The sequence below is a fragment of the Homo sapiens genome, chromosome 2 (genome assembly GCF_000001405.40).
Source record: "Homo sapiens chromosome 2, GRCh38.p14 Primary Assembly".
NCBI lineage: Eukaryota > Metazoa > Chordata > Mammalia > Primates > Hominidae > Homo > Homo sapiens.
Window position 1 is genome coordinate 223212149 of NC_000002.12, and position 16699 is coordinate 223228847.

The following is a 16699-nucleotide window of genomic DNA, read 5'->3' on the forward strand; positions in this document are numbered from 1 at the left end:
CATACAGTTAGATAGAAACGGCAAGTTCTACTGTTTGATAGCACAGTAGGGTGACTATAGTTAACAATAATTTATTATATATTTCAAAATAGCTAGAAGATTTGAAATGTTCCCAACACAAAGAAATAATAGATATTTGAGTTTATGGATATCTTAAATATCCTGATTTGATCATTACGTGTTGTATACATGTACCAAAATATCATATGTACCACATAAATATGTTCAATTATTATGTACCAACAAAAAAAAAGAGAAGAGTTCTACTATTTTTCAATAAACTCTCTTATTCTGTCAAAAAAGCATATTATAATGTTATATTCCCTTCCCCCATGCAAGGAACAGAAAACGTGCCATGAAGTGCTAACAGTTCCTAATGAATGTTGTAGTGTCCATAAAATTAACAAATTAACAAATTGTTTTAGTTTACATTAGGATTCATTTTTGGTGTTGTACATCTATGGGTTTAGACAAATGTGTAAAGCCATGCATCTTCCATTATAGTATAATGGATGATAATGATGTGTCAGTGTAGGTTCACCAATTATAACAAAATTTAACCAAATTTTCAATTTTTAATATTATAAATTGCACTACAATAAACAACTTGCACATACGTCTTTGTGCATTTGTCAGATTAATTCATTAGGATACATCCTAAGAAGTAGGATGTCTAGGTCAAATAAAATATGCATGTTTGGAGGCATTTATGCATATACCCAATTGCCCATCATGATAGTGATATCAATTTACACTCCCTTTAGTCATTTGTCCTTAGATTCTTTTAAATCTTGGCCAATCTGATAGAATAAGTAATTGTGTCTCATTTTTGTTTAAATTTGTACTGCTTAGATTATTGATGAGGCAGAATATAGTTTTGTGTATTTATCAGCCATTTGCATTTGTGTGTGTGTGTATGTGATTTCCTCATTTAGTTATTTAACAATTCTAGAGATAATTCAAACTACCTTTGGCTATGTAAATCAATCTGAAAATTTCCCCAAAATTTTATGTTTTTACCTTATTTAAATCTGTTTTTTCTTGTCTGATACTTACGAAAAGACTAGGAATCTACTATGCACCAAAACAAATTATTTGGTATGAAAAACGGGCTTTTCCAACAGGTTTTGACCTCTCCTCTTTTTTTTTTTTTTTTTTTTTTTTTAATACAGTGCAAAGCAGCACTTTCAAAATTTGACAGGACAATAATAATGCTAGTTGAGGTTTTGGATGGGGCAAAGGCTGTGGCAAAAGAGAGGAAAATCTGGTTGAAGAAATGGGGGGGATATTAATAGGCAAGCTGTCTCAAACTTGTTTTTTAATCACAGAATCATTTTTTTAACCTCTTTGCATTTGTGATGGTCACATGTAAATGGCAACAAACAGTAAGACTAGACCTATGCCAACCTTTCATGTACTGTTTGAAAAATCAGCTCAAAATGCGTGCCCTGCAAATGGTGTGTCAGAAACGTCGTCATTTCATGTGAAACATGAAATAATGATAATAATTATTATTACTTGTATATTAGGGTTCTCCAGAGAAACAGAACCAATAGCATATATATGGAATACTATTATGAAATACTAATATATATTTTTATGAATATATATTATATAATATGATAAATTAATATAATATGTAATAATATATATTAAGGACATAATGTATGTTATAGAAATAGGCTCATGCAATTATGAGACTGAGAAATCACACAATCTGCCCTCTGCAAGCCGAAGAACTAGGAAGGCTGGTGGTATAATTAAGTTCAAGTCTGAAGACTTGAGAACCAGAATGTCGACATCTGAGGGCAAGAGCAAATGGGTGTTACAGCTCAAGAAGAGAGAGTAAATTCATCCATCTTCTGCCTTTCTGTTCTATTTGGATCCTTCTGGGTCCAATGGATTGGATGATGTTCACTCACGTTGAAGAGGGCCATCTGCTTTACTCAGTTCACCAATTCAAACACTGATCTCTTCCAGAAACACCCTCACAGACACACCGAGAAATAATAAGCTATCTGGGTGTCCCTTAGCCCTGTCAAGTTGACACATAAAACTAACCATCACATTACTCAGAAATGTATCTCTGAACGACTTATATTTACTGAGTTAAAGGAGCTTCCTTTGAGATGCCCACTTTCTCAATACACAAGCAGGACTACAAGCTGAAATGTTAAAGCTGGAAGAACCTTTGAAGCACCTCCCTCACCTCAGTTTCCTTACCTGTGTAATGATGGTTGTGTATAAATGAAATATTTTACCTTGGTTCATATAATTTAGAGTAGGAGAAGCCCAGCAATTCCTAAATAGAAACTCCACAGGTACTGCCTTTGTAGCAATACCCATGGTAGCTCTGGGTCATGGCATGTTCATTGCATATGAGTCAACACTTTGCTCTGATGAGACCCTGAGCCAGTATTAGACTGAGCTTCTCCTAAACACTGATGCGCTTATGAGATGGTTTCCTATCAGATTACAGGGTTTATGAGCTGCAATTATTTGTTATATTTTCAAGTTTATGCTTCACAAAGATGACAAAGCTGATTATAACTCTTAAGGCCCACAAGAATAATTGTTGCCGTGAGGCGAGCTTAAGATTTCTGCTTGCATCATAAAGCACACTCCTAATGAGAGATGCAGAATTTTGTAGCTTCTCTGCTTTTTAAAATACATTTTTGATGAAAAGATATTTCATGCTCCATAGCTTCTTATACCTCTGACCAGCTTTAAACTTAATTAGTCCCATCTAAACCAATGTCAGCTGTGTTATGGAGAACTCTTCATGGCAAACTTTCCCATTTGGATGAAATATGAGATGTGCATGGGCACATTCTGCTGAACAAAAAAAAAAAAAAAAAAAAAGCAAAGACTAAATTTCTTGTCTGGAAGCAAAGTTTCTGGAACATGTAACTCAGGCGGCTCAGACAGCAGCAGTTTGTGCTTTATTTTGAAAACATTCCTGCTCGTGAAGAACAGAATGCAAAGGGTAATCAACTTCTGGGACTTTGCAGAAAACCCTTCTGAAAAAGAAGAGAGTGATGAGCAAACTAGGCCCCCACACACCATGGAAATTTTAGAAGTTTTCTTAAGCTGCTTTTCACTGATAAGCTACCTTATGTTTTTCAAGTTCCCATAGTGAGGAAAACATTCAAGTGTGTAGTCTACAAAATTAACTGTCTGGCTAAATCCCACGGAGGTGGATTCTGCAACTCAACCTCCTGCCTCCCCAGACCCGCCCCTCCCTTCTCACTTCTATCCCTTGCTGCTACCCTATAAGGATCTTCTGGAGTCCATTTGCTCTGCTTAATATTCTGTGAACATTACTTGCTGTCTCTGCCTTGTTCCCCTGATTGGGGTACTCTCTGTGTCTTCCTGGCTATCTTGCACTGTTCCTGAGGTACGGAGAGCTATATAGCTTGTTCATATGAAACAAGTTTTAATGAAGACTGTCTTTGGGACTGGGTACTTTCTTCAGAGTGATGTGCATATCAATGTGAATAGGATGTCGTTCCCTCCCTCAAAGTATTCACACTTTAGTGAACTCCAAAGGCTTTGCATTTATTCCAACCCCTTGGAACCCACTTGTTTGCTAAATTCCCACAGCATTTACTTTCAAAATCTTTCGGTTTCTAACTAACCAATTATTGTTGTCTTAGAAAAATTTCCCAAGCTGTCTTAGAACAGTTCCCTGGTCTTTTGGCTGCTGCATTCATGAAATTGAACAAATATATTCCTTAATGTACAATTATTTATTTACAATGTTCTAGAAATTTTGTTTTTTTAAATCAATTAAGTTTAAAATGAACTATTTTATTGCTATTTGAAATAGATAACCAGTCTACAGCCATGCTACCCTGAATGCACCCGAAACAGATAACCAGAATTACTTGCCTTAAATAAGAAGCAATCATAATGAATGCAATGAAAGAAAAACGTTGTTCTTAAATTCTAGTGAAAAGAAAACAATGTTTATGGCAGCCTTATTTATAATAGCCCCAAACTGGAAACAACTCCAATGTCCACACTAGTACAATAGATAAGTTGTGGTGTACCTGCACAATGAAATACTACCCAGCAACAAAAAAAGAACAAACTATTATAACATCCAACTGCACTGAATATCAAAGACATGATAGATAAAAGAGGCAAGGATATGAACTATATGATTCAATTTCTGTAAAAGTCAAGAATGGGAAAATCTAATCTATGGAAATGGAAGTCAGGATACTAGTTACAACTAGAGAGGGGTATTGATTGGAAAAGGGCACAAAAGAACTCTCTGGATGATAGATACATTCTGTATCTTAATCTGTCAATGGTTACATAAATCCATCCATATGTATATAAAAATGTATCAAGCTGTGAGTTTAGGATTAGTTCAAGTTATGCATATTACACTTCATATAAATGTAAAAATGCAAGTGAAATGTGATGAGATCTTAAAAATAATTCCAGCTGAAGACTCTTAGCTTGGAAATCTCTGAGTCTGAGATCTGCTTCCTGTAAAAAAGGAGATTAGTAAGGGAGAGGGGTCTTAAGGACATATTAGCCCCAAACTGAGACTCTTGTCGTATACAGAGGTTGAGGAGAATTGAAAAAGGATGTCTTTCTCATTATTGAGTTTAAATGTTCCATGGCATTATATCCATGTGCCACTCATATTTTAAGAAATTGCTATATGGCATTTCTTACATTTCCTTTTTATGATTAGGTCCAGTCTTTTGACCTATACTAGAAATCCTATGAGAGTGGAGATCATTGCTGATGTGTCTTGCTAGTTTCCCGTATCACTCATTACAAAAGCCATAATTTCCTGGAAAAATAGGCGCTCACGTCATGCTGATAGTTTAACCTACCCTAAGTTAGTTACTCCACAACCGTAGACTGTGCGCCTCCTATTGAATGTGACAGATGAAAAAAGTGTGATGAGTAGCTTCACTAGAAGCTGCTACACCTTGCAAGATAGGGGGATTCCTAGGGCACAGTTTCTTAACTATCTTCCCTCATTCCCCTTTGGACTCACAGATACATTTAAGGTTGTAATGGAATCTATGGGTTCCCTCCTTAGGAAAATGCAAATATGTACACACACATACTGTTTTGCATAAAGTTTATTTCATTGAATTGAAACTTGATTGTCTTCACATAGAATATTTAAAACATCTTTACCATAATATATTTCTTTTTTTGTACAAATTAATGTCTAGTTCATGAAAAATAGGGAAGCTAATCCAAATTATCTATTCAGAAATATAAATGTTAATCTTGTTCAGAAATAAATAGATGGCATTATCATTTTATTGATAATAAGATAAAATCATAAAGTAATCTTTGATGTGTTATCTTTGACATGACATCAGTCTCAACTTTGTTTCTTTTGGCAACATGTCCTGAAAATTGTGACTCATGAAAACCTTTAGTAGCAAAGGTAATTGGAGCCCCATAGCTTGCTTTGTCAGGAGAGATTAAGGAAGGGAACAACAAAATTTCAAAGATTCTTCATCACATAGTAGAATACAAGTTCATAAAGCAGGAATCCTATTTTGTTCAGTGCTATATCCCCAGTACCTAGAATGGTACCCAGCACATGGCAAATACTAAGTAAACATTTGAATAAATAAGTAAAGGGATTCCTTTTTCCAGAAGTCTATGAGATTATTTCTGGAAAGCCTTTCTTCTTGAATTTATGTTAGCTGGGAAAGGATTACGAATCTTTATTTCACATTTATGGAAGTCTGAACTGAAGGACCTTCAGAATCCTTTGGGGTTTCTGGCACTTTATCCCTTTGACTTTAGCCTGTACAGGCTCTCCTCCTTCATTAGAAAGTTTGTCCTCTCCAAACTCCCAGAATAGCTGCCCAGACAGAAGAGTTGGGCCCTTCTTCCATCCTGAAAATACAAAGCATTTATATTGGGACATATCCAAATTTTGCTGAAATTGTAGACTTTTGCAATTTAACCTGCCCCTGAGAAGAAGCCACACTATTGGATGTATTTCCAGGTTGGGTAACATAACATTCCTTTGGCTTTGCTGGTTTTATACTTTGCAGAAAGGTAAGAGACCTTTTCCAGAAAGAGGATACACTCATGACATTTCAGAATGAAAGTAAAACCTTAATATGCATAGCTTTGTAGTATTCCCTTTTCTTTGACATTTTCCAGCCTAAAAAGATCAAGGCAAACAAAGACTCATGCCATAATTAAAATGATGAGTTTTTTAAAATTCCTACCCTGATGAACAGTATTACATGAAAATAATGGCAGCTATACATTTCTTCATTGTATAACATCATGTCTCACATTGTACTTCTTCGATAGAAAATAGTAATATAATTGCAAAAAGTAGCATTCAACTCTCTTACTTACGAAAATAGTTTCCAGAGCAATAGAAAGAAAATCAAAGAAACATTACTAATGAGTGTTCTCTAGTTCACAAACCTTCTGGAAACTCCTCCATGGACCCCAGGTTAGAAATGCAATCTGAGCTCAAGTCTTGGCAACAGAGGTAAAGGGAACTCTATAGGGGCTCCAGACTCCAAAAGGTGGAGAAAACTGCATTAGCAATCCACCTAAGAATAACAGAATTATTGGAAGTTGGGACATAAGGTTCAAGAAAGAGACTCCCACATCGGGAAGCAGCTGGTTTTACTACCAGTTTTACAGATACTCTGGGTAGTGTCAGTCAAGTCTCTGCCCTTTTTCTTTTTCGTTGCTTTCTCTTCTCTCCCTTCCCTTCCCTTCCCTTCCCTTCCCTTCCCTTCCCTTCCCTGATTGGCATTCATATCTCATACATTGGAAAACAAATCTCATAGCATTTAGCTGTTATACATCATGTCAATAAAATGGGCCAAAAGTCCAAACTTCATCTGTATGCCAATGAGAGACATAGACTTTAAGAAACATTCAGAGTAAGTTTTAACTGTGGCATCAGGTAAATTGTGATGTGGCTCTGCTATCTTCCCCACAATGATCCAAACATTCCTCCCTTCCCCAGCTTCTGCCCCTGTGACCCTGCCTTGAAGGTATGGTTCGACCCTATGCTCTCTGTTAAACTAATTTCCAAGCAGCTTTAAATTTCTCATCCCCTTGATATTAACATGCCATTAATTGTAAGATATGTCACTGATTTTACAGCTTTTTGTTGGCAGTAGAGGGTGGCGGAATACTACTACATTAAATGTAGACATCAACATTGATTGCAAAATACATTTAGATTTTAGAAATGAGAAATTATGAAAAGTATTGTAGAATGGATAAAATATGTTATTGCCTTTGTTAGGACAACACATTTTAATGGGGGGAATTCTAGCCTCTGATAGATGTGTGAGAAGGAAGAATATTTTCATTTGGGATGAGAAGCCTTCCTTCTGCACCTCCTCATTTCATACCATTTGGTAGGCAACTATCTGTCTTCTTCTACCCTAATTTCTTGTAAGCCTGGTCTGGTGAGTTGCTCCTTTATTATCTTATGGAATTAATAGGTTGTTAATAAAAGAAATATTATTTAAAAATGAATCTGCATATGATGTGTGTGAAAATTTAGAGATAAAGTTAATCTTATCTTAGGCGATGGCCTAATACTTTCAGGAGGAAGCACAAGTCTCCTTCTGAGATAACGAGCTAGAAGCACATTTGCAGAGTGTCTCTACTTCTTCAACATTTCACACATGAAAATCATAAGGAAGTATTGGTAAAATCAGATCTTTTGATTTTCAGTTATTGCCCTTTCCACCCTGGAACAAATGATATATGACCATCTCTTTCCTGTTGGTTAAATAAGTTGTGCTTTTAAAAGGAATGTACTGCTGGAGAATAAGGGCTGCAACTCACTGAGCTCTGATCAGATCCTTTTGAGGTAGGAAGTTGAGGTAATAGAGTTATCACAAGGAGGCACTGTGGCGAGGCACGGAGGGAAAGGGGACTGTGGTTCAGGGTGGGCAGGGACACTGGGATCCGGAGACAGAGCAGAGGCATCGTAGTGGGGAGAGGAGTACTGCAAGAGGGGAAGTGGGAGAAGGCTGATGGCCAACATTTTGCTCAAATCAGTTCTACGCACATCTTTTTGTACTTAAAAAAAAATGCACAGAAAGAGACAAATACGTCTGAGATTACCGTTCTATAATTTTTCTTCAGTACTACCAATTTGTAACCTGGAGGTGGCATATTTAGGGCTTGCAGATTTTATGATCTGCCCTCAACATGATCCTGTGCTGGTGTGACTCTGAGCCTGGCCTTAGGAAGGTGTTTGCTTTGATATCTGCTTGAAAACAGAGTGAAAACACTCTGTTAATGACAGCTTGTTCCCAGCTGTTTGCCATGGGATAATTCTTTTTAGCCATGCTTCATTTCAGCTTTATGGGAGCACTAACTGACCTTCGGAAGTACACATTAAAACTATACCTGTAGTCAGAACATGGAAACACAATCCTCATTAGGTTTATAGTGGCCTTCGAGCCCAGAAATTGATTTCCCTGCACAGTAGCTCATCCCCAGAACTGTTGGATGTAGCATTGCTATTCTCATTTTAAACATGAGGAAATGCCCAATGTGGCCAACTGGCATACAGTAAAACAGCAGTTGCCAATGTGGGGTGGAGGGCAAATTTGCAAACATTTGGCAATGTCTGGAGACACGTTTGATTTTCACAACATGTAAGGCATGGGCTACTGGCATCTAGTGGGTAGAGGCCAGGGATACTGCTAAAAATCCTGCCATGGCAAGACAGCCCCTGACAATATAGAATTATCTGGCCTCAAACATCAATATTGCTGAGGACAAGAAATCCTGCACTACTAGGATTTGGATTCAGTTTCTCTGAATTTGAAGCCCAGCCTTCCTACTACATGGTGCAGAAGAGATGATTCCTTTTAGTATATCTTCTATTTCCAAAAGGGGAGGTGGAAAAGGTGAGGGCAGAACTTGATCTGCTCCAGAAAACAACGGGGGATGGAAAAATCATTATTGACAGTTTCCTCTGCCAGGCACTGCTCTAAGTACTTTGCATGGTTTATTTCATTTAATGTGTTAACTTAAGAATCACAAGATCTATAAATTTAAAAAAGGAGACTTTATTTCTTAAAAAGGGTTACAGCTTGCAAGGTGACCATCCCACAGGCCGGGAAGCGCAGCCTCCCGCAAAGACTAGAGAAAGGCATTTCAAAGGAGGAGAGGTTGGAATAGGAGCTTTATGCTGACCAGGTTGACTAAATGTACATATTCAAGAGGTCACAGGAAGGGCCACGAATATTCATGAAGGGGGTCCTGATGCATGCCTATTTAACAAACTTGCATGTTACATATGACCCATGCTCAAGTTGGGGTGGACAATTAATATTTACATGTATTACAATTAGGCACCATAAGTCAAAAAGTCTTTTTGAGACATGAAAGCACTCAGTGCACACCCTCTGTAAACTGGCTAGGACCAGTCCATGGTCAGCCATCTTGTTATCAGTAAAAAATTACTGAAATCAGTCTTTAGTCCAATCAAAGCTGCAGTTATGGTTTGTGAAACAGAGGGCTAGTTAATATGTCTAGTGGTGGATGATAATTGTTTTAATATTGCTTATCTTGAGGTCAGTGTTTGTTTAGCTGCTAGAGAAAAAGAAAATCCTTGTGGCACTTAGAACATAGTTTATTCTTTAACCATAGGGGTGTGTGGCTTATCTTTTACCTGGCATGGCTTTAGGTCCTGTTTATAATTTGGTATCTTTTTGCCACAAAGAGTCTGTTCTGACAGTCTTATGATCTCTATTTTAACATTAACACTGGTCAGATGTGTTTAAAACTTGTTGAACCTGCAGCCTTCAGGCTACATGCAGCCCAGGGCGGCATTGAATGTGGCCCAACACAAATTCATAAACTTTCTTAGAACATTATGAGTTTGTTTTTTTGTTTGTTTGTTTGTTTTGTTTGTTTGTTGTGTGTGTGTGTGTGTGTTTTTTTTTTTAGCTCATCAGCTGTTGTTAGTGTTAGCATATTTTATGTGTGGTCCAAGACAGTTCTTATTCCCATGTGGCCCAGGGAAGCCAAAAGGTTATACACCCCTGGTCTAAACATAAAGGGAGGGGGGATAATGTGGTATGTCTGACCTCCCACCCTGTCATGTCTGCAAACAGATTTTTAAGGTTTCTCTGGAGTGCCCTTAGCCAAGAAGGGGTCTGTTCAGTTCGTTGGGGGTAGGGGTAGGGGTAGGGGTAGCGGTGGGGGGAGCTAGGGTTTTATTTTTAGTTTACAAATGTTAAATAAGTATAACTCTATGAAGTAGTTGCCACATAAGTCACAATAAAGTTAAAAAACATGCAAAGATCATGGATCGAGGGATGGACTCACATGGATGTGTTGTTTCTCAGAAGAAAGTTGGAGGAGCCAGGAAACTTTATGTTTACATTCAGGTGCAGAGAGCAACACTAATCATACCAAGAGAGGATTCATCTGCCCACTTTCCTGCCCCTTATCCCAAGGGTAACACTTACTCACTCTGTCAACATTTGGGATGCCAGGACTTTTAAAATGCTGAGTAACTCTACATTATTACAGCATTTCATTAAATCTAAGACACCGTTGGTTGTAAGATGCACTGTTTATTTTATATACCAATAAGAAAAAAAAGCCACATAATCTGTATTTGTAAGACATTACCAATTCTCAGAGATATATTTCTATATTTTAAAAACATGTATCTAACAATTCAGTGCAATATAGTAAATACCAATCCTCTATGACATGAGGCTGTGTTGTACAGAATACAATGGGGCATGAGAACTATCCTTGTCCTCAGGAAATAAAACAAAAGCCTTTATAATCATGTAAACCATGTTCATAATCATGTAAACAATATCAGAGCCATTGACTTTGCTTACTTCACTGCCAAGTTTTAGACCAGTGCCTGACACAAACTAGGTTCTCAAAATGTTAGTTGAATGAATGAAAGAATGATTGTTTTAGAAGTCTCCCTTTCTTTCAACATTTTTTTTTCCAGGTGAGAATACATCTAGGTTCTTACACTTACTTTCATGTTCTGAGCCTACAAAGGAGCAAAACTTTGGGTTTAATTCAGAAAATAAATGGCCATGGAAAAGGATGTTAACCAGCAAGCTGGAAGGATTCTTCCCTAGACATTTTACAGCAAGTGCTTGGGGGTCTCATCAATCTTTTAGACAAGGGTCAGGTTTAAGGATGAAAAGTGAAAGCACATGTGCCTCTGGTGACAGCGTGCTGTGGTGGTGCTTTGTGTGCCATTGATATACATCATCAATCTTCCTTCCTTGCATTGCCTAACACTCCAGTTGGAAGTTCAGGCAAAATTCTGGGATGCTGAAAGGACTGTAGTCTCTGAAATAAAAATTTCTGAATGGGCATTATTTGCATCCTTTGACCTTGTCATTCTACTTCTTGAAATAGTTTCTTGAGAAAGCGAGTCCTTTGTTCACCAGATATCTATTGAACGCTTCCATGGCAGATACCATTCTGGGCACTGGGGACATGGTGGTAAGTGAGATGGACAAGAGCCTCTTCCACTGAGGCTCATATTCTACAGGAAGGGAGACAGATAGACAACAAACCAACACTATCATAGAGTGATGTGTACTGTGCGGAAATGTAAATAGTATAGTTGGAAGAGACTTATAAGAGCTTACTTTAGACTTCAGACCCTGAATATGTCAGGGAATCTTTTCGAATGACATAGCATCCAAAATACATCAGCTTAAAGCTAAAGTGCACCAACCCTGTACAGATTTGGAAGTAGCATTTCAGGAAGAGGAAGCAACTGGTAAAAAGGCCCAAAAGCAGGAACAGGGGTGATCAACGTGTGGTGGACAAAGAGAAGAGTTTTTTGAGAGGATGGTGAGGAGGGTAGAAGCTGGCTGTGTAGGACTTTATAAGCCAGGGTCAGCAGTTGTTCAATCTCATCAAGTTGTATACCTTAATATCTGTAGATGTTTATGCATGTGCGTAATATATATATTATATAATTTTTAAGCATGGTAGTGACATTATCTGACTTTTACTTTTAAAAGATTGTTTTGGTTTGGCATAAAGAATAGATTGTAGAGGGAGCAAAAGAGGAAGTAGAGACACCAATTAGAAATCTGGTACAGTTGTCCAATACAGAGGTGATGATGGCCTGCCCTAGCACAGTGGCAATAAAAATAGAGAGATGATGGATACAGGATATGTTTTGCAGCTGAATAGATAAGACACATTGATAGACTTGACATGAAACTAAATAAATTTAGGATAACACCTAAATACTTACTTTGAGCTGTTTTATGTTGGCAACTTTAGAGGAAGAATGGGTTGCAGTGGCAGGAGAAGGGCATTACGAATTTTGTTTTGGTCTTATTACATTTGTGATGCCTATTAGACATATATTTTAGATATTGAAGAGACAATTATATATGAAAGTCAAGAATTCCAGGAAGAAATCAGGCCTGGAGATAGAAATTAGAAGTCATTTTTATATAAATGTTATCTAAAGTCTGTGACAAATGTTGCTGAGTACATAGATAAGAAAGAGGGGAGTGGCCAGCAGAGTGGCCAGTCATCTGTGGATGACTCCAAAATTTAGTAGTTAAAGAGAGGTAGAATTGCTAGCAAAGGAGAACAAGGAGGAACAAATAGTGTGACAGGAAGAATATGTTAATTCAAAACCAAGAGAAGAAAGTGTTTCAAGAAGAATGGAGCATTCAGCTGTGCCAAGACATTGGAAATTAAGGTAAGAAGTAGTAACTGATATTGGATTAAGCAAAATGAAGATCAATGGGGACTTCGACAAGAGCATTCCCTCAGGTAGGTACAGAGGGCAAACTTTATTCAAATGAGGGAATGAGGGAAGAAAGGAAGGGAGGGAGGAAGGGAGGCAGAGTGGCAGGGAGGGAGGGAAGGAAGGAAGAAAGGAAGGAAGGAAGAACTGGAATAATAGAGACAAATATTTCAAGAAGTTTTATTTTAGCTAGATGGATATATGGGATAAAGGGAGGTTTTATTTTTCAAAGTTAGTTGGCCATTTTTTATGTTGATGGGAATGACTCAGTAGAGAGGCAGCTGTCAATAACACAAGAAAGAGAAGGGGTAATTGCAGAAGGGAAGTCTTTGAGAAGATGTAGAAAGATGATGAGCTCCAGAGTATTGCTGGAAGTGTAGGTCATGGTTAGGAGTAGGAAGATTTTATCCAATGTAACAGGAGGCGAGATTATGAGAAAAGATGTGAGGCGAGGGGCTTTGCTGAGGAGAAGATGGAGGCATTGATTTTTTCTTTCGGTAAAGTACAAGGCAAGGCTATTGGCTGTGAGTGAGATGGTCAGATGGGGAGCAGATTGTTGGAGAATGTGTGAAACAGTTTGAGGCAGTGGGAAAGCAAATAAATTAAGGAAGTACAGTAGGATTGCTATGCTGTGTTGATTGCTTTTTTGAAATTTATTATCATAAATTGTAAGAGAGACCAGACAGCACTGTTGTATATTTTTCTCACCAATAGTCAGCTGCTTGGATGCACCACAAGCATATAGTTGGGTTTAAACAAGATTGGAGCTTTGTTTGGCATGGCAGTGGTGGGAGGAGGGGCAGGGAGGTAGAGTGTTTTCAAGACAATGATTAGAATGATGGACAGGTGCAATTTCAGCTGTGTGGGCCGCAAAACTGTGGGCTGATGATGGTATGTAGTAAGCAGCTTTTAAAATGGCTCCTAATTAGCCTCGCTTGTGGGTATTCACATTCAAGCAATTCTCTCACCTTGTGCGTGGGCTGGACCTAGTGACTTGCTTCTAGTGAATAAAATATGCTAACGATAATTGGCTGCCATTTTTGAGAATGTTACAAAAGACTGTGACTTTGGTCTTGGTAACACCCTCTCATCTCATTTGCTCACTCTGATAAGGAAGCACTCATGTTGTGAGCTGTGCATTGGGAGGCCCACATGACCAGGAACTGAGAGTAGCCTCTGAACAACAGCCAGTGAAAAACTGAAGTCCTCAGTCCAGCAAACTGCAAGGAACTGAATCTTGTCAACAACAGAAAGCAGATTCTTCTTCCATCAAGCCTTTAGATAAGACCACTGCTATGGCCAGCATCATCATTGAAGCCTTGAAAAAGACCCAAAGCTGGAGGACCCAGTTTAGTCGTGCCCAGATTTTTTACCTACAGAAACCACACACACAAAAAAATGTTCATTGTTTTAAGCTATTATGTTTTGGTGTAATATGTTATGCAGTAACAGGTAGCCAATACATGACATGGTGACAGAATGAGTGAGTCAAAGTGCTATAGTGGCTGAAGAACTGCTCAAGTGGTTGTGCTAGAGCAGCTGAGGTCAGGAAACAGTGGTCACAGAGGGGAATGCTTGAAGTTAAGACTTCAGAGGTGATGCAGATAGTGATAACAAGATCAAAAGGATGACTACAAAGATGGTGGCTGAGATGAGATCAAATAATAGATCTTTGGAAGTTAGAAGACCAAGAAACCTAGAGATCAAGATGTTACATTTATGTGGATGTTGGTAATACCAAAAGTAGTAATGGGAGAAGAACTGAAAAGAAAGATGAATGTAAAATATTAACTTAGTCAATTGATGAGAAGCCATGGTTGGGGTCCTGAGGACAGTAACCAGGAAAAGTGATGGCTTCCGAGGAAGTAAGCCCCTGTTATCTTGGGTGTTCTTCCACCTTGGGAGGTGAAGTCCATCTCCAAGATACTTGCTGCTCCCCGTTCCTAGAAGCTGGACCACGCACCTATAGCCTGTGCTCTGATAATGATTCTAAGTTGGCAAAATGAAGAAGCATAGAGATATTGCATGCATTCCAGAAATGGTGATGACAGCAGCTCCTTCTAGTTTCTAGTGGCAATGGTGGCGACAGTACCAGTATTTAGAATCCAGTCCCAGGGGCCAGGCGCGGTGGCTCATGCCTGTAATCCCAGCACTCTGGGAGGCTGAGGTGGGCGGATTACGAGGTCAAGAGATTGAGACCATCCTGGCCAACATGGTGAAACCCTGTCTCTACTAAAAATACAAAAATTAGTTGGGTGCGGTGGTACACGCCTGTAGTCCCAGCTACTTGGGAATCTGAGGCAGGAGGATCGCTTGAACCCGGGAGGCGGAGGTTGCAGTGAGCAGAGATCGTGCCACTGCACTCCAGCCTGGTGACAGAACATGACTTTATCTCAAAAAAAAAAAAAAAAAATCCAGTCTCAGGGAGGCTGGGGATAGAAGCTGCAGGTTCTGTGTGCAATTGTGTGTGGAAACAGCAGGGAGTTCACTGGGACAGAGCCGTTCCTCCAGTGAGCTCTCCAGGCTTCCTGGAGATTCTGTAAGCTGCCAATAAATTCACTTTTGGCATAAGTTACTATAATGTACTTCATCTGCTTACAACAAAGAATCCTGACTAACATCCAGTAAAATATGATGCCATGAACATCAAAGAAACTGAGGAATGTAAGATGAGAGGACCATATAAAGGAGCTGAAGAGGAAATGGTTTTGCCAAATCACAGACAAAGCATTATCATAAGTTTGCTATGAAATGTATCTATGAGGATGTTCATTTTAGCATTATTTATAATAGCAAAATAGGGAGTTCCTTACGCAAATGGTAGCATAGTCAAAAATTGTTCTCTATGGGACCTAGAAATGGTGTGCTGTTGGAAAACTAATGATATGGAAGAGTGTTTAAGATTTGTTGGTAAATGAGAAGAACAAGGCTACGGGATAGTATTTGCAGTGTGATCACAAATTGGTTTATAGAACTATAGATACCTGCATAAAAATACTAGAGGTGTATATCACCAATATCTCTGGAAAATAAGATTATAAGTCATATACATTTTCTTCTTTGTGCTTTTAAGTATCCTTCGAATCTTCTGCAATGAACAGATTTAAATGTTCTGATTTTTTTTAAGTTAAAACAAAAGCAGGACTTTTTTTCATAATTTCAACTTTTATTTTAGATTTCAGGGTACATGTACAGGTTTGTTACCTGGGTATACTGTGTAATACTGAGGTTTGAGGTATGAATGATTCTGCCACCCAAGTAGTGAGTGAAGTGCTCAATAGGTAGTTTTTCAGCCCTTCCCCCACTCCCTCTTCCCCCACTCTAGTAGTCCCCAGTGTCTATTGTTCTCATCTTTATACCCACGCGTACGCAATGCTTAGCTCCCTCTTATAAGTGAGAACATATGCCACATTTGGTTTTCTATTCCTGTGTTAATTTGCAAAGTGAGAATTTTGATGGTGAGTATTCATTCTAAAAGCACACTGGGGAGTTGGTCTGGACTTTCTTGGTTGTGACCTGACCCCAGGAGGCTAGGGATTCCCACCCAGAATTCCGTGGCTTTAGTGCTCATTGTGTCATGGCATGCCTCCCTAGAGATGCAGAAGCCTACCATGGCCATCAACCTATCTACACTGACCAAGAATGGAACTTTGGAATCTTCTATTTGTCTAGGGTATATCTCCCTTAGGTGACAAGAGAAAGGACAGAGTGAATCTGGAATGGTTGTCCTTTCAAAATCAGGTGTGGAAACACCAGCTGTGCTGAAGAATGCACTTGGCCAGTATCACTAGTCCTAATTCTCAGTATAGATTCACAGGGTAGTTTTTAGATTTTTTTTAAAAACCTACATTTTCTCCTTGTTCAAGGAATTAGTAAAGATTTCTTTTCTTGAAACCTGTGGTTTAATCTCTGTGACATTATTTTCCAAAGGTG

The 16699-nt window shown here is 38.5% G+C and overlaps 1 annotated feature.

Moving 5' to 3' along the window:
• Nucleotides 10283-10577: a silencer, noted in NCBI's record as "tiled region #6911; HepG2 Repressive non-DNase unmatched - State 24:Quies, and K562 Repressive non-DNase unmatched - State 24:Quies". NCBI's record gives its function as "represses a minimal TATA promoter and a strong SV40 promoter by Sharpr-MPRA in HepG2 and K562 cells {active_cell/tissue: HepG2 | K562}" and the evidence as "EXISTENCE:reporter gene assay evidence [ECO:0000049][PMID:27701403]".